Source organism: Homo sapiens, chromosome 19 (assembly GCF_000001405.40).
Source record: "Homo sapiens chromosome 19, GRCh38.p14 Primary Assembly".
NCBI lineage: Eukaryota > Metazoa > Chordata > Mammalia > Primates > Hominidae > Homo > Homo sapiens.
In genome coordinates, this window is record NC_000019.10 from 54,039,479 (window position 1) to 54,065,318 (window position 25,840).

Consider the following 25,840-nt stretch of genomic DNA (forward strand, 5'->3'; position numbering starts at 1 on the left):
AGACTCCATCAAAAAAAAAAAAACTTTCTATAGATACATAATATTTATGCATATTTATGACATACATGTGATAGTTTGATACATGCACAGAATGTATAATACTCAAATTAGGGTATTTAGGATATTCACCACCTCAAACATTTATCTTTTTTTTTATCTTTTCGAGACAGAGTCTCTCTCTGTCGCCCAGGCTGGAGTACAGTGGTGTGATCTTGGCTCACTGCAACCTCTGCCTCCCGAGTTCAAGCAATTCTTCTGCCTCAGCCTCCCAAGTGGCTGGGATTACAGGTGTGCGCCACCACACCCAGCTAATTTTTGTATTTTTAGTGGAGATGGGGTTTCACCTTGTTGGCCAGGCTGGTCTTGAACTCCTGACCTCAGGTGATCCACCCATCTTGGCCTCTCAAAGTGTTGGGATTACAGGAGTGAGCCACTGCACCTGGCTCATTTATCGTTTGTGTTGGGAATGTTTCAAATCTTCTCTTCTAGCTATTTTGAAATATACAATATATTGCTGTTAACTATAGTCACCCTTCTGTGCTATTGAACACTTGAACTTATTCCTTCTATCCAACTGTGTTTGTGCCCATTAACTATCCCACCCCTTCTAGCCTTTGATAACTGACTCTCTCTTTACCTTCATGAGATCTACTTTTTTAGCTCCTACATGAGTGAGAACATGAAGTTGTAAATAAAGTTTTATTCTAACACCGCCACACCTACTTGTTTACATATCAGCGATGGCTGCTTTCATGGTACAACAGCAGAGTGGGGTAGTCTCAGCAGAGATCCTACAGCCCACAAAGCTGGACGTGTTACTCTCTGGTCCTTTTGTTTTCTGCCCTCTGGTCTAGGAGTTTGCAGCTCTGGGCGTTTTTTGTTTTTTTTTTTTTTTTTTTTTGAGATGGAGTCTCACTCCATTGCCCAGGCTGGAATTCAATGGCGCCATCTCAGCTCACTGCAATCTCTGCCTCCTGGGTTCAAGCGATTCTTCTGCCTCAGTCTCCCAAGTAGCGGGGATTACAGGCGCCTGCCACCACGTCCAACTAATTTTTTATTTTTAGTAGAGATGGGATTTCACCATGTTGGTCAGGCTGGTCTTGAACTCTGACCTCAGATGATCCACCCACCTCGGCCTCCCAAAGTGCTGGGATGACAGGCGTGAGCCCGGCCGTTTTCTTTTTTGCTTGTTGTGCTTCCTGGAGATGCTCAGTAATTCTTACATTCTTTCCTGGATAGCTGGTCAATCATTATTTATTATTTCCTTGAATTGTTCTAGGAGGAAATGTGGGGTAGAAAGAGTATGGTGGGGTTCTTGGGCATGAATAATCCATAAATAAGTCAGATTTCTTTTTAAGACGAGAAACTTAATTTTATTGATATGGACGAAGAGCAAGGAAACACAGTATCTGCATCTCCAGATTTCCGATAACCTTGGCCAGCACGATCCCCCCTCCTTTAGTGGCCAGGGCTGTCTTCTTGCTACACTTTCAGTGCCGCATATTCATGAGATCCTGGGGGCTCCTGGGTGGTGTCTGAAGCTGCCTCAGACAGGGCGCTGGTGCTTAGCTCAGCATAGGTCACTCCTTGGGGGTCTGCCGTCTTTGGAGAAAATAGATGAATATTAGAACTGAGTGTTCAATATGGCAGCCACTAGCCACACATGGCTATTGACATTTAAGTTAATTACAATTAAATTTAATTTAAAACCCAGGTCCTCGGTCACACCAGATGCATTTCTTTTTCTTTTCTGTTTTTATAACCCTTTATGCCTGTGACATCAATGGATCTGCGTAAGCCTTTTTTCATTTTTTTTAAATTTTTATTTATTTATTTATTTTGGGACAGAGTCTGGCTCTGTCGCCCAGGCTGGAGTGCGGTGGCGTGATCTCGGCTCACTGCAACCTCCGCCTCCCGGGTTCAAGCCATTCTCCTGGCTCAGCCTCCTGAGTAGCTGGGATTACAGGCGCCCACTACCACGCCCAGCTAATTTTTTGTATCTTTAGTAGAGATGGGGTTTCACCATGTTAACCAGGATGGTCTCGATCTCCTGACCTCATGATCCGCCCGCCTCGGCCTCCCAAAGTGCTGGGATTACAGGCGTGAGCCACCGCGCCCGGCCCATGCATAAGCCTTTTAAATGGAGATTTTGGTTCCCATTAGGGGAGTTTCGTGACTTGTCTAAGACCACATGCGTGATAAACAGTATACATTTCTGTATGGGCTTAACCAGGAGGCACACACGACCAGCCCATTGTGGTGAGGGAGCTCTTGTGGGACTCCTAAGCGGGAGGACTCACCGAGAGAGATACCCTTTCCATATTGGATAAATCTGCCTCTGAGTGAGAAAGGAAAAAAAAAAATCAGTTCTCAGCTGCAGAAGTCAGAACTTAGTCTTTCTATCCGGTGATTCCCTTAAACTTCCCCTGTCCCTTACCGGCAGCCTCCTGCTCCGGAAGTTTGGAATGGCTGGTTCTGAAAGAGAGAGACACACGTGAAAGGATGGGATGTGAAGATTTCGGGGAGAGGGTGAGGGCAATGGAGGGGAGAGGAAGGGAGAAGAAGGGAGAGGAGGAAGGTCACAGAATGGGCTGGGGTGGGGGCTCAGGGTGCCAATCCCGGATGTGCCAATGGGTTCCCTTGAGAATGACATGGGAATAAGTGGAGCATGAGCTATGCCAAGCATCTACCTCTTGGTGGATTCCTCAGATGATGAACCTACAAAAAATGCAGGAGGAATTTACCTACCGAGAAAATCCTTCACTCCCCCTCTCTCCCTTTGCGTTCTCTGAGCTCACTGTGCTGGCTGCATCTGTAGATGATGAAGACTGAGAGGAAGAGGAGAAGGATGGAGATGCAGCTGAAGATGGCGACAAAGATGGTTCTGGTGTCTGGAGGGGGAAGAGCAGGTCAGGGAATCAGCCTGGCTCCTGAAATCCACTGATAGGGGCGAGCCGAAAAGCTAAGAGAAGCCAGACAGATGGCCTGGCTTCCAAGCCTGGATCTCCCACCTCGGAGCTGGAACTTCCTATTGCTTTGGGGAATTTCCTTAATCTTCTCCAAGCTTCTGTTTCCCCATCTGTAAAGTGAGGATAGCAGCAGTAGCTACTTTATTGGATGGTGGGTCAGTACCTATAGAAAGGGCTGGAACAGTGCTTGGCGCATAGGAAATTCCAAAAATTCCCAGGGAATGTTTGGTGCATAGCAATGATATTGATCATTTATTGTGAGCCAGCTCTGTTCCAGGTGCTCCATATATATATATACGTGTGTGTGTGTGTATATATATATATAAATGTATATATATGTGTGTGTATATATAAATGTGTATATATATATATATATATATATATATATATACATATATATATATATATACACACTTTTTTTTTTTTGAGATGGAGTCGTGTTCTGTCACCCAGGCTGGAGTGTGATCCTGGCTCACTGCAACCTCCACCTCCCTGGTTCAAACAATTCTCCTGACTCAGCCTCCTGAGTAGTTGGGATTACAGGCGTGAGCCACCACATCTGTCTGTGTAATCACTGTCTGAAATCCACTGATGGGGTGAGTAGAAAAGCTAAGAGAAGCCAGACAGATGGCCTGGCTTCCAAGCCTGGATCTCCCACCTTGGAGCTGGAACTTCCTTGGAGCTGGACATTTCGACCAATAGACTTTGAGTAAAGCAGATGACCCACTGTCATAGGGGTGGGCCTCATCCAATCAGTTGAAGACTTTAAGACTTTAAGAGAAAAGACTGAGGTCCCCCAAGGTGGAAGGAATTCTGCCTCCAGACTCAAGCTGCAATATCAAGTCTCCCCTGGATCCCCTGCCTGCCTGCCCTGCAGATTTCAGACTTGCCAGCTCCCCACAATCACGTGAACCAATCCATTAAAATCAATCTCTCTCTCCATATATGTATATACATGTATATGTTCTCTTTTTTTTTTTTGAGACAAAGTCTCACTCTTATCGTCCAGGCTGGAGTGCAATAGTGCAATCTTGGCTCACTGCAAGCTCCGCCTCCCGGGTTCAAGCAATTCTCCTGCCTTAGCCTCCTGAGTAGCTGGGATTACAGGTGCCCACCATCACGCCCGGCTAATTTTTGTATTTTTAGTAGAGACGGGGTTTCGCCATGTTGGCCACGCTGGTCTTGAACTACTGACCTCAGGCAATCTGCCTGCCTCGGCCTCCCAAAGTGCTGGGATTACAGGCGTGAGCCACCACACCCAGCTTATATCTATATGTTCTATTGGTTCTGTTTTTCTGGAAAACCCTGGCTAACACAGACATGATCTCAGCTCTTAACTTCAAACATATTTCCTTTTTCTTTTTTTAAAGGAGAGAGAGAGATGTGAAAGGACGGGATGTGAAGATTATGGGGAGAGGGTGAGGGCAATGGAGGGGAGAGGAGGGGAGAGGAGGGAGGTCACAGATGGGAGCTCAGGATGCCAATCCCAGATGTGCCAATGGGTTCCCATTGTTGCCCAGGCTAGAGTGCAGTGGTGTGATCATACTCGAATTCCTGGGCTCAAGTGGTCCTCCTCACTCGGCCTCCAGGGTAGCTGGGAGTACAGACCACCACGCCCAGCCAACTTCAAACACACTTCAATGAGCTCGTTGATGCCAGGTAATGAACAGCAGTGACACGGGCATGGAAGGCGTTTAGAGTGGGGAGGGGTGGGGCTCTCTGAAGGAGACATGATTCCCCAAGACACAGAACAAGGGATCAGCTGGGAGAATTCAGGGAGGATTCCTAATAAGAACAGGGTTAGAGCAGGGTAGAAAAGAATGACCAGTGGCCGGGCACGGTGGCTCACGCCTGTAATCCTGGCACTTTGGGAGAGTGAAGTAGGTGGATCACTTGAGGTCTGGAGTTCGAGACCAGCCTGGCCAACATGGTGAAACCCTGTCTCTACTGAAAATATAAAAAATAAGCTGGGCATGGTGGCGCACGCCTGTAGTCCCAGCTACTCAGGAGGCTGAGAGAAGAGAATTGCTTGAACCTGGGAGGCGGAGGTTGCAGTGAGCCGAGATCGCATCACTGCATCATACACTCAACTGACCAAGACTCCAACTCAAAAAAGCATCCCTCTCAGGAGATAAAATTTCTACCAATTAAAAAACAAAAACAAAACAAAACAAAAAAAACTAGTTCTTGAGCAATATTGCCATGCAAGTCTACATCATAGCGTTTTAAAGTCTTAACAACAACCCTGCAAGGTAGTACAATTATTTCCCTCCCACTGGTGAAGGGCATGCATTCCCGTGTGACTCCTGGGATTACAGCAAGGGTTGTGTCCAAAGCTCACAGCGTTGAGGAAGAGAGAGCAACCTGTTACTAAAGCTAGGCGACAGAGTCCATGCAGTTCCCCCCCGTTTTTTGTTTTTCTTGGCACTTTAGATTCAAGAAACACAAGTCGTGAGACTTTAAGGAGTAAGTAGCAGAAACGTGATTAAGGAAAAAAGTTGAGCAACTATAGAAGTGAGGCCCCAGAAAGGGGCTTCACCAAGACCCCCGCTATCTTTGTTAGTGTGCTTTGAGTCTGAGAATTTTTCCTAGGTGTGCAATGATCTGTGGTCACATTACAGAGCCAAGTCTGAGATGCTTCACACGCCTGGTCCTCTGCACCAACAGAGGGTCTCCCATCCAGACGCTTCCCCTACTTGGTTCGCTATGTTTGCATTGGCATTTCTACATATCTATATATAGAGAATTACCTATCTAATTTATCTATCTCGCTAATCTATCTACCATCTGTCTAGGTATCTATTATCTATCTACCTATCTATCTTTATCTGTCTCTGTACCTACTTACCTATCATCTATCCAATCTATCCGTCCTATCTAATTATGATTTATCTATCTACCTACTTGCCTATCACCTATCCAATCTATCTATCCTATCATATGTAATTAACTATCTGTCTGTCTAATTTTTCTATCTTGTTAATCTATCACTTATCTAGGCATCTATGTATCTATCTTTATCTGTCTATCCACCTGCTTACCTGCTGTCTGTCTAATCTATCCATCCTATCATATCTAATTATCACTTATCTATCTACCGACTTACCTATCATCTAGTTACCAAATCTATCATCTATCTAATGTATCTATCAATCATAACCAGTTATCTATCATCTATCATCTATCATCTGTATGTATCTGTCTATTCACCTACTATTATCTATTTAATCTATTCTATCTAGTTATCTATCTATCTATCCACCTACTTATCTAATTTTTCTATCTTGCAACTCTATCACCTATCTAGGTATCTATGTATCTATCTGTGTATCTGTATATCTATCTATCTATCTAGCTAGCTTTATCTAGCTACCTAGTTACCTATCATCTATCTATCTAATCTATCATCTATCTAATGTATCTATCAATCATATCTAATTATCTGTCTATCTAATCATCTATCTTATCTATTATATCTAGTTATCTATCATCTAGCTAGCTAGCTAATCTATCTGTATCTATCTACCTACTTACCTATCGTCTATTTATCTATCTAATCTATCATATCTAGTTATCTATCTACTTACTTATCTAACCTGTTGTATCTAGTTATCTATCTACCTACTTACCTATCATCTGTCTATCTATCTAATCTGTCCATCGTATCTAGCTACTTATCTACCTATCATCTATGTATCTATCTAATCTATCATATCTAGTTATCTATTTATCTGCCTACTTGCCTATTATCTATCACATCTAATTATCTATCTATCCCCCTCCCTGAAATAAGGTTCTTTCTGAGCTGATCATCAGGGAGCAGCAAAAGGAGTGGGGAGTTTGAAACAAGACATATTTGAGTTCTAGTACTGGGTCTCCTACCTCCTGACTTTGTAAATGTTCCCTTCCCTTTCTGGAATACGTTATTTTTTGGTTAAATATAAGGAGGGGGCAGAGAGCTAATAATATCTAACTTGAAGAGTTAGGTAATGATGAAAAATCCTGGCTTTAAAGCGCTCAGTCTAGAAACTGACTCATTGTGTCGGATAATGGGATTGTAGGTATAATGATGATTTTTTTTCACCCAATATTCCACCTACACCCATCTCTCTCTGTAATAGATTCTGTCAATGTTCCTCAACCCATGTTCCCCAGATCCCTTTCCCATTTTTATGCATTCTAGATCGTGGCTTCTTTCCCTTTCCAAAGTGAACATTTGTATCTCTTCTTTGGGGGACTGCCTGGGAGAACTCCAAATGCCTTGGAATTTACATGCCCGGGACAAACTGCCACTGACGGCTGTGGGGACCCCAGCTCCCTAGCCTCTGGTCTTCGACCTTCTCTGTCTCCACTGCTTTCTGCAGGATGGAGCCAAAGATACCATCTGAGGGACACAGATATCCCACACTTGTTTAATCTATTTTCCTCCCAGCCCTTCTTCCCCACTCCCTAAAATGTAATTTTCAAGCCAGGCGTGGTGGCTCACACCTGTAATCCCAGCACTTTGGGAGGTCGAGGCAGGCAGAGCACCTGAGGTCAGGAGTTCGAGACCAGCCTGACCAACATGGAGAAACCCCGTCTCTACTAAAAATAGAATATTAGCTGGGTGTGGTGGTGCATGCCTGTAATCCCAGCTATTTGGGAGGCTGAGGCAGGAGAATCTCTTGAACCTGGTAGGCGGAGGTTGCAGTGAGCCAAGATCACGCCATTGCACTCCAGCCTGGGCAACAAGAGCGAAACTCTGTCTCAAAACTAAATAAATAATAAATAAAATAAAACGTCACTTTCACACTAATGCTGTCTAAGAGCCTGCTTCTGGTGGAGCTGAATCAGAGAACCCCTCAAAAGCAACAATTTTTTTTTTTTTGAGACAGTCTCACTCTGTCTCCCAGGCTGGAGTGCAGTGGTACAATCTCGGCTTTGGAACCTCCCCCTCTGGGGTTCAAGCAATTCTCCTGCCTCAGCCTCCCAAGGAGCTGGGATTACAAGCACCCGCCACCTCACCCCGCTAATTTTTTATATTTCTAGTAGAGATGAGGTTTCACCATGTTGGTTAGGCTGGTCTCAAACTCCAGAGCTCAAGTGTTCTGCCCACTTTGGCCTCCCAAAGTGCTGGGATTACATAAGCCACCATGCCTGGCCATAAGCAACAATTCTATCAGTGCATCTCCAAGGACTTATGAAAACAGGGCAGGAACAGCTGCTCCTGGACTCTCAGTTTCCCCAGATGGAAGCAGAGAAACAGCAGCCTTGCCTTGTCCTTTCTGTTCTCCCCTTTTCCAGCCTACGGTATCTTTCACACAGCAATTCACTAGAAATGAGAAGTACATTATTGCAAAATTCTCATCTTCATATGACCCCATAATCAGCTGAACTGGGTTCACCCTGAGATGTCCACAGATCCTGGCCAAATGTTGCATCAGTATTTGCAAATTGCCAGAATAAATCATAACTTGCTACGCTACTAAAGTCAGCGTGAGCAACAAGATACAGCCTGACACGGGGCATAAATGGAGGCACAGGCACCAGAAAGAAAGTCAAGTCTTGTGTGATAAAATTCATCTTCATTCTCTACATTGCGATTGAACATAGAGTCGTTTTCTAGTGTGTTTTAGGCATATAAATACAGGCTGGGGACATCATACCTGTGCTTACAGATATTTTACTTTTATTTTATTTATTTACTGAAACAGGGTCTCGCTCTGTCACCCAGGCTGGAGTGCTGTGGCGCAATCACAGTTCACTGAAGCCTCAACCTCCTGGGCGCAAACGATCTTTCTGCCTGAGCCTCCCAAGTAGCTGGGACTACAGGTGCACACCACCACGCCTGGCTAATTTTTGTATTTTTTGTAGAGATGGGATCTTACCAAGTTGTCCAGGCTGGTCTTGAACCCCTGGGCTCAAGTGATCCTCCTGCCTCATCTTCCCAAAGTCCTGGTATTACAGACGTGAGCCACTGCGCCCGGCAAAGATATTTTATTCTGTTTAGAATTGTGATGATACAAATTTGAACTCAAAAAGTACATTTTAAGAAATTATATAATACCCACTGGGATGGCTATAATTTAAAAAAAGAAAAGTAAGTGTTGACAAGGATGTGGAGATATTGGAACCCACATATATTACTGGAAGGAATATAACATGATACAGCCACAATGGAAAATGATTTGGCAGTTCCTCAAAAAGTTGAACATAATAGTCACCATATGTCCTAGCAAATCCACTTCTAGGTACATACTCAAGATAATTTACAGCGCGGAGACAAACAGATACTCCTACCACAGTGTTCCAGCACCATTACTCGCTTTAGCCAAGAGGTGCAGACAACACAAATGTCCATCAAAAGAAGAACGGGGCCAGGCACAGTAGCTCAAGTCTGTAATCCCAGCACTTTGGGAAGCTGAGGCGTGTGGATCACCTGAGGTCAGGAGTTCGAGACCAGCCTAGCCAACATGGTGAAACCCCCTCTCTACTAAAAATACACAAATTAGCTAGGCATGGTGACGGGCGCCTGTAGGTCCAGCTACTCAGGAGGTTAAGGCAAAAGAATCACTTAAACCTGGGAGGCGGAGGTTGCAGTGAGCTGAGATTGTGCCACTGCACTCCAGCCTGGGCGACAGAGCAAGACTCCGTCTCAAAAAAACAAAAACAAAAACAAAAAAAAGAATGGATAAGCAAAATGTGGTCTATCCATACAATACGATGCTTTTCACCATGACAAGAAATGAAACATTGATGCATGCTACAGTACAGACAAACTTTGAAAACATTATGCTAAAGAGAAAGGAGCTAGTCACAAAGGATCACATAGTGTATGAATCCACTTACACAAAATGTCCAGAATAGACAAAATCATAGACACAGAGAAGCATATGAATGGTTGGAAGGGCCTGGTGGGAAAGTGGGAAATGAGGAGTGACTGCTTAATGGGTACAAGATTTTCTTTTAGGGTGATGAGAATGTTCTGGAATTATGTAGTGGTGATGGTTATACTACCTCATGAAGATACAAAATGCCAGTGAATTGGACACTTTACAAGGGTGAATTTTTGGACTGTGAATTATATATCAATAAAAAAAGAAAGAAAATAAATGATACAAGAGCTCAAAATAGAAAAGCTTCTCTTCCTCCTCCCCCTCACACCTCACTAGATCTCCCACCTCGTTTCTGATACTTCTGTGTTCCTCTCTCCCATTAGATTTCATATCTTTCTCAGAAAACGTTCCTGACGTGAATTGTGTTCGTAGTGCTAGGGTAGCAGACATTTCCCAAGCCTACTATCATGGAATAAAAACGTTTCAAATAGTTATCTTGCAAGAACACTTTGGAGGATACCTTTTTGAAAACCGATTATACCAGCACAGACTGCTAGCAACAACCTTCAGCAACTTTGGCTCTTTGGAGTAGGTTGCAGGAAGATTATGACTTGCTGAAAGGAAGGATGATTAAGCATCTAGATGCCAATTTATATTCTGCATTTGGCCCTTAAAGTCTGGATGAGTTCCTGTTTCAGCCGAATGCTGCCAAAAGCTCTAACTTTTTAATTTTTTTTTTTTTTTTTTTTTTTTGGAGACAGAGTCTCACTCTGTTGCCCAGGCTGGAGGGCAGTGGTGTAATCTCGGCTCACTGCAACCTCTGCCTCCCAGGTTCAAGCAATTCTCCTGCCTCAGTCACTTGAGTAGCTGGGAATACAGGCGCCCACCACAATGCCCAGCAAATTTTTGTATTTTTAGTAGAGACAGGGTTTCACCATGTTGCCCAGGCTGGTTTCGAACTCCTGACCTCAGGTGATCCGCCCACCTCGGCCTCCCAAAGTGCTGGGATTACAGATGTGAGCCACCTCGCCTGGCCCAAAAGCTCTAATTTTTATGAGAAACTCTGAGGACAGAATCTTAGTCAATTGTTAATGAATAAGCAACATTAGAAAAAAAATTCAATATTCACCTATTTTTGAGAATTTTAGAGTTATAACAAACTCTTGATTATATATATTCCTGAAGTACCTACTCTGCGTAGGTCCTGGTCCTACTCCCCAAATGGGTCACTGAAAAATTCACCCCCATTATTCCCCAAATCCCACCCTAGTTTTTCATCATGTCATATGGCAAACAACGCACTCTGTGCTGTTTTACACACCAGCTTCTTCAGAACCCGGAAGCACTTTAGAGGTTATCTCCCCTCATCCTCCACCCCCCAAAACACAGCAGTTTCCCCAATAACATTGAGAAAATGGGCTTTAAAGTTCTTCTAGGCCGGGTGCGGTGGCTCATGCCTGTAATCCCAACACTTTGAGAGGCCGAGGCGGGGGAATTGCTTGAGGTCAGGAGTTTGATACCAGCCTGGCCAACATGGTGAAACCCCATCTCTACTAAAAACAAAAAACAAAAAACAAAACTGAGCTGGATATGGTGGTGGGTGCCTGTAATCCCAGCTATTCGGGAGGCCGAGGCAGGAGAATTGCTTGAACCCAGAACCCAGGAAGTGGAGGTTGCAGTGAGCTGAGATTGTGCCACTTCACGCCACCCTGGGGGACAGAACAAGACTCTTTCTCAAAAAAATAAATAGGCCGTGTGCGGTGGCTCACGCCTGTAATCCCAGCACTTTGGGAGGCTGAGGCGGGCAGATCACAAGGTCAGGAGTTCGAGACCAGCCTGGCCAACATGGTGAAACCCCGTCTCTACTAAAAATACAAAAATTAGCTGGGTGTGGTGGTGCGTGCCTGTAGTCCCAGCTATTCGGGAGGCTGAGGCAGGAAAATTGCTTGAATCCGGGAGGCGAAGGTTGCAGTGAGCTGAGATTGCGCCACTGTACTCCAGCCTTGGTGACAAAGCGAGACTCTATCTCAAAAAACAAACAAACAAACAAACAAACAAATAAATAAAGTTCTCCTTGTGCACTTTAAGCAAAGGTGATCATGAAGCAGATCTCATTGGGAAAAACATCTCCTTTCTAATTATCTTACCTGTTTTCATTGAGGGAGCTTCAAGTTCATCGTGTTTATCTAGAAAATAGGAGGGAAGAAAAGGAATTACACTAATCATACAGGAACCTTGGGGACAGGAGTCCTCACGTCCTACTTATAGACATCCTGTTCTTCTTTGGGAAGCAGAAAAGAGAATGGCTTCTCCATTCCCTAGATGCTCCCTGGGTCCTCAGAGCATGGACAGAGCCTCAGATTACTCTTCTTAATAGTCCTGGAGTTTGATAGTATTTTTAATAACAAAAATATTTATGAATGACCCTGCTAACGCCCCCTCCAGTTTGATTCCTTGCCAGTCTTCTCTATCTTGACAAAGAACACCATTCACCCAAATTCTTTCTTTCTTTTATTTTTTTTGAGTCTTGCACTGTTACCCAAGCTGGAGTGCAGTGGCATGATCTCAGCTCACTGCAACCTCCGCCTCCCGGGTTCAAGAGATTCTCCTGCCTCAGCCTTCCAAGTAGCTGGGACTACAGGCGCCCGCCACCACACCCTGCTAATTTTTGTATTTTTAGTAGAGACAGGGTTTCACCATGTTGGCCAGGCTGGTCTCAAACTCCTGGCCTCAAGTGATCAACCTGCCTTGGCCACTCAGAATACTGGGATTCCAGGCATGAGCCACTGCACCTGGCCTATATTTCTATCTCCACAGTGGCACCATTTAGTCTAAGTTAAAATATCACCTACTTGGCCGGGCGCAGTGGCTCACGCCTGTAATCCCAGCACTTTGGGAGGCCGAGGCGGGCAGATCACAAGGTCAGGAGATCGAGACCATCCTGGCTAACATGGTGAAACCCCGTCTCTACTAAAAATACAAAAAGTTAGCCGAGCGTGGTGGCGGGCCCCTGTAGTCCCAGCTACTCGGGAGGCTGAGGCAGGAGAATGGCGTGAACCCGGGAGGCGGAGCTTGCAGTGAGCCGAGATCGCGCCACTGCACTCCAGCCTGAGGGACAGAGCCAGACTCCGTCTCAAAAAAAAAATAAAAATAAAAATAAAAATGAAATGAAATATCACCTACTCACCAGTCCCTGGCAACCACCAGTTGCTTCTGTGAGTTTGGCTTTTTTAGACTACACATATGAGTGAGATCCTGCAGAATTTGTCTTTCTGAGTCTGGCTTATTTTGTTTAGCATGATATATGCGGAGATGTTGATGAAAGGGTATAAGTTTCCAGTTCTAAGATGAAGAAGTTCAGGTGCTCAGCATGGTGGCAATGGATGTGCTAATTAATTTGACTGTGATAATCATTACACAATGTACAGGTGGATCAAATCATCAGATTGTATACCTTGAATATATACAATCTTCATTTGTCAATTTGATATTTTTAAATTTAAAAAGTCGTATTGCCTGAAACGCACCAACTCTTACTACATCTAGTCCCTTATTTTCCAAAAGCAGCCAGAGGCCGGGCATGATGGCCTGTGCCTGTAATCTCAGATGCTTGGGAGGCTGAGGTGGGAGGATTACCTGGGCCTGGGAGGTCAAGGCTGCAGTGAGCTGTGATTGCACCACTGCACTCCAGCCTGGGCAACCGAGTGGGACCCTGTCTCAAAAAAAAAAAAAAAAAAAAAAGCAGCCAGTGACCCTTCCAGCATATAAATAAAATCATGCCATCCTCCAGCTCAACTTCATCAGTGGGTTCCTGTTCTTTCAAAGCAGACTCTAGGACCAGTTCAAACACCCACAAGATCCTAGATGCTCTAGGCCCTGCCTTATGTCCTCCTTTCTGTGTCTCAATCATTCCAGGAACACTCACACTTCTGAGACTTTGCTTTTGCTGCTCTCTCTCCCTGGAGGGCTGTTCTCCAGATATCGGTGTGGTTGGGTCATTCTCATCCTTCATGCTTGTGGCAGATAGACCCTAAGGGGGCACTCAGGAGACTCAGGAGCCCTGCTTCCTGGTGTTCATGCCTTTGTCTAATCCCCTCACCTTGAGTGTGGAGATCTGTGACTTTCTTCTCACCAATAGCTATGGCAAAGGTGATGGGATGTTATGCTCTTGATTATGTTACATTACATAAAACTCTGTTTGCTAGGGCATTTGCTCTCTCTTTCTTCTCTCTCTCTCAATCTCTCTTCTTGCAAGTGCTGCAGAATCATTCTAGCATGAATCCTACAGCTATAAAGAACCAGATATTGCTATCAACCACAGGAGTGGAGAAATGGACCCTTCCCCAGTCAAGCCTCCAGATGAGCCAGATGAGAACACAGCCCTTGTTGACACCTTGATTGCATCCTTATGAGACCCAAAGCAGAGGACTCAGCTAAGCTGTGCCTGGACTCCTGACCCACATCAACTGTGAGATAATAAATAGGTGTTTCAGGCTGCTAAATTAGTGGTAATTTGTTATGCAGCTGTAGATCACTAATACAATGCCTCTCACAGTTATTCTCCATCTATAATGTGTTTTTTAATTACTCTGATAGCTTGCTCTTATTTCTTTCTTTCTTCCAAAGAAGAATGTGAGCTCCTGTTGGCCAGAGACCTGGTCTGTCTCAGTTCCTACAATATGCTCAGGATCTACCAAAGTATCTGAATTTGTAGGGTGAATGGGCAGCTATTTTTGTGCCAGGTATTTTGCATTAATTTTTTTTTGTAATGGAAGCATTTATATGCCCATTTTGTAATAAGTAAAAAGTAGTATAATAAAAAAGTAAAAAGTAGTATAATAAAGTGATTTGCAAAGCAGCAAACAGATTGTATATGGAAGGCTGACCTGGAAAATCAACCACTGGAAATTGATACTATAGCCTGTCTTGTGATGTAATGGTACAGCTGCGATAGAGGTGAAGAAATCAGGAAACAGTAGATGATATGCCAGAGAACATAATTGGGAAATGGCAAATAATCGCGAGGCTTTTAGGGCTAAAGTGTGGGTGCAGAAATTCTTAAGACTACAAGAACGAGTTATGGGGAATACAATTTGAAATCAATATCAAAGTGATGAGCACCTTGTTGGAGTATCATTGATCAAGAGCCTCAGAAAGAGGGTAAATCAGAGGTGAAACATTAAGTATTCAGTTACTCATCATGCCCCAAGCCCAGGCTAAGTCATTGGTGTGGACCCACGGCTACTTCTACACTACACTGATGACTGTAAAGTCTCTCCAGGGATTTCCCATGATATGGCAGGACTGACCTACTGGAAGCAACTGTGGTCAGTTGAGAGGTATTGTTTAGTGACTAATAAATGAATGGATGAATGGATGGATGGATGGATGGATGGATGGATAGATGGATAGGTGGGTGGGGGTGAGTGAATGGGTGAAAGGGTGGATGAGTGGATGAATGGGTGGAAGGATGGACAAATGAGTGGCTGGGTAAATAGATGGGTAGGTAGGTAGATAGATGGATGAAGGGGTGGGTGGACAGATGAATGGAAGGGTTGGTGGTTGGATGGATTAATGGATAGATGAATGGATGGATGGATGGATGGATGGATGGATGGATGAGTTGATGGATAGATGGATAAGTGAGTGGATGGATGGGTGAATGAGTGGGTAGGAGGGTGGATGGGTTGGTAGGTGGGTAGATGGGTGGGTGGGTTGATAGATGGGTGGGTAGATTGATAGATGGATGGGTGAGTAGATAAATGGGTAGATGAAAGTGATGCAAAATTATTCTTTATCCCTCTTCCTTGGGATCTCAAGTCATGTATGTTACAATCCTCCCACGTGCATCTTCTCACTGTGGTCCTCATCATTTTTTTTTCAGTTACCTGCACCGTGCCTCCCATACTTTTCCACACAATGGGATCTCTTAGCCCCACAATCCATTATTTGCCATTCCTACATCCCTCATAGAGCACTGGACACTCTTTCTGGCTTTCCTTCTCTGGCATAATGAAATATAAATTTTCATTTATGTCTGAATAGCAACTGTGAAGCTCATTGTTTTTGTGACACCGGGGAGGTCACCTAATCTCTATGAGCAAAAAGAAGTTAGTAACACAACCACCCTCATAGGAAGTGAAGACTGAATGAGTTAGTGGAGGCAAGTTACCTGTCGTGGAGACAGGAACATAGAAAATGCTGGATACATGTCAAATGCCAGTGTTATCACTCTATCCTCACCTGTCACCCAGATCTCCAGCTTGTTGCTGGGGAAGGAGGCCAAGTGTGATGAGTTGCTCAGGTAATACACACAGCTGTAGTTTCCACTGTCATTACTTGTCACGTTCCAGAGCATGAAATCAGTCTGGTTTTTTCTTACTTGCCTGACTTGTAATGGTTCTGGGATCCCCATTTTCAACAGAGCAATTACAATACATTCGGTTCCATTGTATGGAGTGAGACATCGAAGTGTCCTGAGACCTGGAGTCATCCCAGGGTCTACATTGACTGAGAGCAAAGGTTCTGGGAGTGATCCTGAAGAGGACAAGGCAATGGAGGTAAAGAGAAGGGCCAGGGCTTTTCCATTTTCTACTGCACTTGGGGACTATCTCATCCATCTCTCCGTATTAACCATGTCTTTCATCTTCTGCATTTGATGCTTTAACATCTTGGGGCCTTGCTGCCCTTGGTGGGACCTCCCCTCGCAGGGTTAGTTAATTTCTAGAGCCAGTAAACAACTTGTCCTCAAGGATGTCCCTCAAATGCAAGCCAATAGATCCAGAGCCCATACTCTCAACCACCTTAATTATGGGGCTCTCACACTCAAGGTCAATGTTGTCCTCTCCTAATCACCCCAGGTCCAAGAACTAGACAACCAGGGACAGCCTCTACACCCCAAAGCCAATTCTTTTTTTGTTTTTCTTTTCTTTCTTTCTTTTCTTTTCTTTTCTTTTTTTTTTTTTTTTTTTTTTTTTGAGACAGGTTCTCATTCTATCACCCAGGCTTGAGTGCAGTGGCACGATCTTGGCTCACCGCAGCCTCTGCCTCTGGGGTTCAAGCAATTCTCGTGCCTCAGCCTCCCGAGTAGCTGAAAGCACAGGTGCACACCACCACACCCAGGTAATTATTGTATTTTTGTAGAGATGGAGTTTCGCCATGTTACCCAGGCTGATGTCAAACTCCTGACCTCAGGTGATCCACCCTCCTAGGCCTCCCAAAGTGCTAGGATTACAGGCATGAACCACCACACCTGGCCAACTCTAATCTTGTTCTCCCCACAAAATACAATCAAAGCTCTGGTCCACAGTTCTTCCTCCTCCCTCTGCCCCTCATTGACCCTGGTGCTTCCCCACATACTCCCCCCAGTATAGCCTTCCTCCTCCTCTTGGGAACTGTAACAGACCATCTTTTCCATGGCAATCATCACTTGGTCTGTCAGTCTTACCATACCCCAATTTTCTATTAACTGACCATATTCTACACCACCCTCCCACATCCACATCATTGGGACCCTCTCAGAATCTCTGATGAGAATCTTGCTCCACATTCGGTTCCCATTTCCACATTGAAGGTGTTGCATCTATCCTTCTTCTTCTTTTTTTTTTTTAGACGGAGTCTTGCTCTTTCATCCAGGCTGCAGTGCAGTGGCACAATCTCAGCTCATTACAACCTCTGCCTTCTGGGCTCAAGAGATTCTCTTCCTGCCTCAGCCTCCCTAGTAGCTGGGATTACAGGCGCCTGCCACCACGCCCAGCTAATTTTTGTATTTTAAGTAGAGGTGAGGTTTCACCATGTTGGCCAGGCTGGTCTCGAACTCCCGACCTCAAGTGATCTGCCCACCTCTGCCTCCCAAAGTGCTGGGATTACAGGCATGAGCCACCGCGCCGTGCCTGGCCTGCATCTATCTTTTTGTCTCCTAGATTCCTTCTTCCCCAGCCATGTCCCACGACAGGAAAAGAAATACGTGCATCAGGCAGGCTTTGGTGACTCACGCCTGTAATCCCAGCACTTTGGGAGGCCAAGGCAGGAGGATCACCTGAGCTCAGGAGTTCAAGACCAGCCTGGGCAACATAGATCCTGTCTCAACAAGTAATTTAAAAATTAGCCAGGCATGGTGGTGCTTGCCTGTACTCCCAGCTACTTGGGAGGCTGATGTGGGAAAATCGCTTGAGCCTGGGAGGTCGAGGCTGCAGTGAATTGTGTTCATGCCACTGCACTCCTGCCTGGGTGACAGAGCGAGATTCTGTCAAAAAAAAAAAAAGCAGCCGAGCGCAGTGGCTCACTCCTGTAATCTCAGCACTTTGGGAGGCTGAGGTGGGCAGATCACTTGAGGTCAGCAGTTCGAGATCAGCCTGGCCAACATGGTAAAACCCTGTCTCTACTAAAATACAAAAATTAGCCAGGTGTGGTGGCGCACCCCTGTAGTTCCAGCTACTCGGGAGGCTGAGGCAGGTGAATTGCATGAACCCAGGAGGCGGGGGTTGCAGTGAGCTGAGATCATGCCACTGTACTCCAGCCTGGGCAACAGAGCAAGACTCCCTCTCAAAAAAAAAAAAAAGGCTGGGTGTGGAGGTTCACGTTTATAATCCCAGCCCTTTGGGAGGCCGAGGCAGATGGATCACTTGAGGTCAGGAGTTTGAGATCAACCTCACCAATATGGTACAACCTCATCTTTATTAAAAATACAAAAATTAGGCCGGGCGCGGTGGCTCATGCCTGTAATCCCAGCACTTTGGGAGGCGGAGGCAGGTGGATCACAAGGTCAGGAGATGGAGACCATCCTGGCTAACATGGCGAAACCCCATCTCTACTAAAAACACAAACAATTAGCTGGGCGTGGTGGCGGGCGCCTGTAGTCCCAGCTACTCGGGAGGCTGAGGAGGGAGAATTGCTTGAACCCAGGAGGCAGAAGTTGCAGTGAGCCGAGATCGTGCCACTGCACTCCAGCCTGGGAGACACAGCAAGACTCTGTCTTAAAAAAAAAAAAGCAAAGCCAAACCAAAGAAATGTGTGCATCAAAGAGTACATCTGCCCTTCTCACCTGTGACCACCAGCTGCAAGTGTTCACTGCTTTCTGACCACTCATGGGAGGCTGTTGTCTTGTAGGCACAAAAGTACCTCCCAGCATCCTTAGGCTTCAGGTCCGTGAAGGGGAATTCAGCTTCGTTTTCTGCCGAGCTCTGTTCCTGCTTGTACCCAGAGTCGTTCACCTTGCGCAGCACAAATGTCACATTCTGGGAATGAGCCTGACACTTCAGGGTCACATTGCTCTCGGCTTCAACCACCGAGCTGGGCCAGGCGTGGAGGGAGGGCTTGGGCGGTTTCTCTGGAAACAATTCAGAGTTAATTTGAGTCTAGAATTCAGACGATTAAAGGAAAAGGTCATGAAGCGTGGGATGCAGGAATAAAAGTTTAAGTAGGAGAAAACTCACCATTCTTTTTCTCATCTTCGTAGCCCAGACACAGCCCTGGAAGAGAAATCTCAATGAGAGAAAAATTATGTGCTTGTCCTTGAGTACAAATCCAGCAGAGAACGTATGACTAGCTCTTTATAGGTCTGAGATATATATATATATATAATGTATATATGTATTATATATAATAAATGTATTAAGTATATGTACACATATTACATATAATACATATATAAATATAATATATATATTAAATATATGTATTACATATATGTATATATTTTTGGCAGATATCTCCCCAGACTTACCTCTTACTTTTGTTCCATTGTTTGTCATTCAGAAGCTACGTGTATGGAGAAAATTCCAGCAACTTCTTCTTTCTTTTTTTTTTTTTTTTTTTGAAATGTAGTCTTGCTCTGTTGCACAGGCTGGAGTGCAATGACATGATCTCAGTTCACTGCAACCTCCGCCTCCCAGGTTCAAGCAATTTTCCTGCCTCAGCCTCCCGAGTAGCTGGGACTACAGGCACCCGCCACCACACCTGGCTAATTTTTGCATTTTTAGTAGAGACAGGGTCTCACCATGTTGGCCAGGCTGGTCTTGAACTCCTGACCTCAGGTGATCCACACGCCTCGGCCTCCCAAAGTGCTGGGATTACAGGCGTGAGCCACTGCCCCCGGCCCAGCAACCTTTTCTGATGTATTGAATTGCTTTCATGAGTAATCCTTTCACCATCTAGAAATTGTTCAACATTCACCTATGCTTTTTTCTGGTATTTTCTGTGATTGCAGTGTTTTGTTTTGTTTTGAGACAGAGTCTCGCTGTGTCACCCAGGCTGGAGTGCAGTGGTGCAGTCTCAGCTCACTGCAACCTCCTCCACCCCCTGGGTTCAAGTGATACTCGTACCTCAGGCTCCAGAGTAGCTGGGACTACAGGTGTGTGCCATCGTGCCCAGCTAATTTTTGTTGTTGTTGTTGTAGAGATGGGGTTTCACCATGTTGCCCAGGCTGGTCTCAAACTCCTGAGCTCAAGTGATCCACCCGCCTCAGCCTCCCAAAGCGCTGGGATTACAGGCATGAGCCACCGTGCCCGGCCTGATTGCAGTTTTACCCTTGCCACTTAAATAATGCAAAGGTTATTTTATCGTGGAGTGAGAGTGGTGGGTTTTTTTTTTTTTTTTATTTTTCGAGATGGAGTCTCGCTCTGTCACCCAGGCTGGAGTGCAGTGGCGCGATCTCGGCTCACCGCAAGCTCTGCCTCCCGGGTTCACGCCATTCTCCTGCCTCGGCCTCCCGAGTAGCTGGGACTACAGGCACCCGCCACCAAGCCCAGCTAATTAATTTTTTTGTATTTTTAGTAGAGACGGGGTTTCACTGTGTTAGCCAGGATGGTCTTGATCTCCTGACCTCGTGATCCACCCGCCTCGGACTCCCAAAGTGCTGGGATTACAGGCATCAGCCACCGCGCCCGGCCGAGAGGAGGGTTTTCTTGCTCAATTCCAATAGAGAGAATCTGCTCCCCCTTCCCCGTGTCTTCTGGTCCCAAATACTCTCCTCACTTTAGCTTTGGTTTCCACTTACATTATCCCCTCCCTCTTCTGTGTTCTGTTCTCTACATTCCCCGCTGGGAAGGTAGCGTCTTAAACTTGGGTGGAAAATGGGATGTCAGTCATGGGGCTTGTTTCAGGGTGAAGTTACGTAGAATTTAGGTAGAAATTCTCTAGAGCCACGACAGTGTCTCAGGACATTGGTTCCTTGTTGACACAGGTGCCGATACAGAACGTGACCCCCCACCAAGCTTCACCACAGAGGAATGAGGTGGAGGCCTCACGATGGACCGAAGCTGCGTTGGCAGCGAGATTAGCTGGGATTGGCAGGTAGGAAACAGCCTCTGGGTGGGCAGGGCATCCCAGGACTCAGGCTCTGTTTTGAGACCCTCCCCAAATCCCGCTTTTAGATTCATGTCATCTCATCTCTGCTATCCACCCATCGTCTGTTCAAACAGTGATTCCTATATTCTTTTTTCTTTTTGAGACAGGGTCTCACTCTGTGGCCCAGGCTGGAGTGCCAGGGTGCAGTCACAGCTCACTGCAGCCTCAACCTCCTGGGCTCAAGTGATCCATCCATCTCAGCCTCCCAAATAACTGGGACTACAGGCATGCACCACCACGCTGGCTGATTTTAAAATTTTTTTGTAGAGATGAGGACTCACGATGTTGCCCAGGCTGGTCTCGAACACCTGAGTTCAAGTGATTCTCCCACCTTGGCCTCCCAACATGCTGGGATTACAGGTGTGAGCTACCTGCACCCAGCCCAATTCCCATATTCTTTTTCTTTTCTTTTTTTTTTTTTTTTTTTGACATGGAGTCTCCCTCTGTCACCCAGGCTGGAGGGCAGCGGTGCTATCTTAGCTCACTGCAACCTCTGCCTCCCAGGTTCAAGCGATTTTCCTGCCTCAGCCTCCCGAGTAGCTGGGATTACAGGTCCTTGCCACCATGCCCAGCTAATTTTTGTATTTTTAGTAGAGACGGGGTTTCACCATGTTGGCCAGTCTGGTCTCAAACTCCTGACCTCAAGAGATCTGCCCGCCTGGGCCTCCCAAAGTCCTGAGATTACAGGCGTGAGCCACCACACCTGGCTGATTTGTGTTTCTTGAAAAGAGAAGTTCAAGTTGTAACTCCCAGGACCTGCGAATGTGACCTTATTTGAAAATAGCATTGTCTGATCTTTGCAGATGTAATTAATTAAACTAAGATGAGGTCATACTAGAGTAGGCTGGGTATCTAATCCAATATAACTTACAAGAAGAGAAAAAGAGAGACAGAGACACACAGAAGGAAGACGGCCATGCGAAGACAGAGGCAGAGAGGCCAGGCTGCAATCATAGTGCTTTGGGATGCCAAGATAGGAGAATTGCTTGAGCCCAGGAGTTGGAGACTAGCCTGGGCAATATAGCAAGATCCCATCTCTAAAACAGAAATTATTTTAATTAGTCCAACATGGTGGTGTGCACCTGTAGTCCTAGCTGCTCAGAAGGCTGCGGGGAGGACTGCTTGAGCTCAGGAGGTTGAGGCTGCAGTGAGCTATGGTGGTACCACTGCACTCCGGCCTGGGCAACTGAGTGAGACCCTGTCTAAAGAAAAGAAAAAAAAAAACAGAGCCAACGATTGGAGTGATGCATCTACAAGTTAAAGAATGCCGGGAGCGCTGGCTCACGCCTGTAATCTCAACAGTTTGGGAGGCTGAGGCGGGCAGATCACCTGAGGTCAGGAGTTCGAGGCCAGCCTGGCCAACGTGGTGAAACCCTGTCTCTACTAAAAATACAAAAATTAGCCAGGCATGGTGGTCCATGCTTGTAATCCCAGCTACTTGGGAGGCTAAGGCAGGAGAATTGATTGAACCCAGGAGGTGGAGGTTGCAGTGAGAAAGATCATGCCACTGCACTCTAGCCTGGGTGACAGAGCAAGACTCCGCCTCAAGAAAAAAAAAAAATGCCAAGAATTGTCAGCCATCACTAGAAGAGGGGCATAAAACAGACGCTCCTTCATAGTTCTCAGAAGGAATCAACATTGCAAACACCTTGGTTTCAGACTTCTCATCTCCCCAACTTAAAGCAATTCTAATTCCTTTAAGCCACCAGGCTTGTAGTACTTTGGTATGGCAGCCATTGGGGGATGAGGTCAGTCTCCTGGTTGCCCAGCTTACTGTGCTCAGCAGCTGGAGGCTTGGGTATGAACCCGATAGTCATCTCTAAGGCACAAATAGCCGGGTGCAGTGGCTCACACCTGTAATCCCAGCACTTTAGGAGGTTGAAGTGGGTAGATCACCTGAGTTCAGGAGTTTGAGACCAGCCTGGCCAACATGGTGAAACCCCATCTCTACTAAAAACACAAAAAATTAGCCAGGCGTGGTGGCGTGTGCCTATAATCCCAGCTTCTCGGGAGGCGGAGGCAGGAGAATCGCTTGAACCCAGGAGGTGGAGGTTGCAGTGAGCTGAGATCACACCACTGCACTCCAGCCTGGGAGACAAAGCAAGACTCTGTCAAAAAAAAAAAAAAATGCTCATCTAAGGTGCAAATGTGTGTAGGAGACGAGCATTACCCCACAAGGAAGGGCTGCACCCAGAAAAGGAGGAAGGAACTGAAGCAGACGAAGCACGTCGATGTCCACCGCACCCCCCGTGCACCAGGGAGGAACTGGGGCCTTAGGGAGGTGGAGCTCTGCTGGGTCAAGCCTAGAGTTTCTATGTAGTAAAGCCGAGATTATAACCCAGGTCATCCGTTTCACAGTGTGAGCTCTGTCTGAATACATCAGGTTCAATTGGAGGATGGTTAAAATCAGCCTAAGAATCGAGCTGGTCAGAAAATTGTCTTCTTGGGGCCAGGTGTGGTGGCTCACGCCTGTAATCCCAGCACTTTGGGAGGCTGAGGCGGGCGGATCACCTGAGGTCAGGGGCTCGAGACCAGCCTGACCAACATGGTGAAACCCCGTCTCTACTTAAAATACAAAAGTCAGCCGGGTGTGGTGGCCTGCACCTGTAGTCCCACCTACTCGGGAGGCTGAGGCAGGAGAATCGCTTGAACCTGGGAGACGGAGGTTGCAGTGAGCCCAGATCACGCCATTGCACTCCAGCCTGGGCTACAGAGTGAGACTCTGTCTCATAAATAAATGCATACATACATAAATAAATAAATAAGAGAGAGAGAGAAGAAAATTGTCTTTTTGCCCACAGCCTTGCACCCTGTAGATCCCTAAGCCCAGCCCTCCTCTATTCCGACGGAGGATGATGGCAGTACTGCGGTATTTAGCGGCTGCAGACTCGGAGACCCCACAGCAGCTCTGCCTTTCCCAGCGGAGTCTGTCCCCGTGTCTCTGCAGCGCGGCCTCCTCCTCGCTTGCATGTGGGCGGCAGAACTCACAGAACCCACAGCCCAGACCCACCCACCGCAGGTGTGCAACACCTGGAAGTCATTACTTCCACACACCGCATTTCCACCTGGACTGCCACTCCCACATGAGTTTTTCTCACCAGCCCAAGCCCATTCGTCCCAGTCCTGGAGACTCACCGAGGCAAAGCAGGGAGAGGAATTCTGCGGTCATAGCGTCCCTTCTGCCAGAACCAAGGCCCCGCCTTGGGTTTTACCCTTCAAAGGCGGAGCGGGACTGGGCCGGCCGCAGCTCTCCGGCTGCCCGGTTCGTCCCCAGGATGTGCAGATAGAGGAGGTTTTGCTCTGACACTCTGGTTCTCTGCCCCACTCTTGCAGTTTCCTTCTCACAACCGACTCAGGAAACAAGAAGCCGTCGATGATAACTTCTTCCCCATGAATCCGGTGTGTGTGGCCCCACCCGCCCGAGCTCTGTCCTACCTTATCTGAAGTTCTGCCAAGAGTTTTCTGTAAATGTAATTTTTTATTTTAAAACACTAATACCGGCCGGACGCGGTGGCTCACGCCTGTAATCCCAGCACCTTGAGAGGCTGAGGCGGGCGGATCACCTGAGGTCGGGAGTTCAAGACCAGCCTGACCAAAATGGAGAAACCCCCGTCTCTACTAAAAATACAAAATTAGCCAGGCATGGTGGCGCATGCCTGTAATCCCAGCTACTCCGGAGGCTGAGACAGGAGAATGGCTTGAACCCAGGAGGCGGAGGTTGCTGTGAGCCAAGATTGTGCCACTGCACTCCAGCCTGGACAACAACGGTGAAACTGTCTCAAACAAGCAAACAAACAAACATTAATACCTATAGCTTTATAGCTTCCGTGTACCCACTAGCCAGCTCCCCACAATGTTAACCTTTTTTTGGGGGGCGGGGGGGACAGAGTCTTGCTCTGTCACCCAGGCTGGAGTGCAGTGGCGCGATCTCGGCTCACTGCAACCTCTGCCTCATGGGTTTAAGGATTCTCCTGCCTCAGACTCCCAAGTAGCTGGGATTACAAGCATGCACCACCACACCCAGCTAATTTTTTGTAGAGATGGGATTTCACCATGTGGGCCAGGCTGGTCTTGAACTCCTGGTCTCTAGTGACCCGCCCACCTCAGCCTCCCAAAGTGCTGGGATTACAGGCATAAGCCACTGTGCCCGGCCAATGGTAATCTCTTATAATTACAGTACTTTTTTTTTTTTTTTTTTTTTTTGAGACAGAATCTCTGTCAGCCAGGCTGGAGTGCAGTGGCACAATCTTGGCTCACTGCAACCTCTGCCTCCCGGGTTCAAGCGATTCTCCTGCCTCAGCCTCCCGAGTTGCCGGGATGACAGGTGTCCGCCACCACTCTTGGCTAATTTTTTTTGTTCTTTTTAGTAGAAACGAGGTTTTGCCATGTTGCCCAGGCTGGTCTCGAACTTCTGACCTCAGGCGATCCGCCTGCCTCGGCCTCCCAAACTGCTGGGATTACAGGCGTGAGCCACCACGCCCGGCGTATGGCACATTTTCAAAACCAGAGACTTTGCACTGGCATCACACGTTTAACCAGGTTCCAGAGGTCACTCAGATCTCACCAGTTTGTGCATAATTCGTTTCTCTTTTTCTCTTCCTCTTCCTTCTATTTCTATTTCCTTTTCTCCTTTTCCTTCTTTTCTCCTGCTCTTCCTCCTCTTCCACCTTCTTTTCCTCCTCCCTTTTCTTTGCCTATGGGTATAGTTCT

The 25,840-nt window shown here is 46.4% G+C and overlaps 1 protein-coding gene across 12 annotated transcripts; it reads right to left on the reverse strand.

The window, feature by feature from the left end:
* Positions 1–1,346: 1,346 nt before the first annotated feature.
* VSTM1 (V-set and transmembrane domain containing 1) lies at positions 1,347–24,419 on the reverse strand. 12 transcript variants are annotated; one of them, XM_011526847.2, is made up of 11 exons: positions 24,266–24,419; positions 19,219–19,254; positions 18,828–19,112; positions 16,028–16,321; positions 11,932–11,970; positions 3,012–3,079; positions 2,799–2,891; positions 2,691–2,718; positions 2,438–2,475; positions 2,301–2,338; positions 1,347–1,602 (listed from the first exon to the last, which is right to left on the reverse strand). In XM_011526847.2, exons 1-11 carry the CDS (start codon positions 24,297–24,299, stop codon positions 1,581–1,583), a joined length of 975 nt encoding a protein of 324 aa, XP_011525149.1. In that variant the 5' UTR covers positions 24,300–24,419; the 3' UTR covers positions 1,347–1,580. The 12 variants fall into 12 exon arrangements, 11 of the variants coding, with proteins under 11 accessions (XP_011525149.1, XP_011525148.1, XP_011525147.1 ...); NR_110142.2 differs by lacking the exons at positions 3,012–3,079; positions 16,028–16,321 and adding an exon at positions 8,837–8,925; XM_011526846.2 differs by lacking the exon at positions 3,012–3,079.
* Between the last annotated feature and the right edge of the window lie 1,421 nt (positions 24,420–25,840).

Bases quoted from the DNA above. Each gene is read 5' to 3' on its own strand.
- VSTM1 (XM_011526845.2), bottom strand. From the start codon at position 24,299: ATGACCGCAGAATTCCTCTCCCTGCTTTGCCTCG. The intron at 19,113-19,218 runs GTGAGTTTTCTC...AATTGTTTCCAG, and splicing joins CGAAGATGAGAAAAAGAATG to AGAAACCGCCCAAGCCCTCC. The intron at 2,339-2,437 runs GTAAGGGACAGG...TTTCTCACTCAG, and splicing joins TCCGGAGCAGGAGGCTGCCG to AGGCAGATTTATCCAATATG.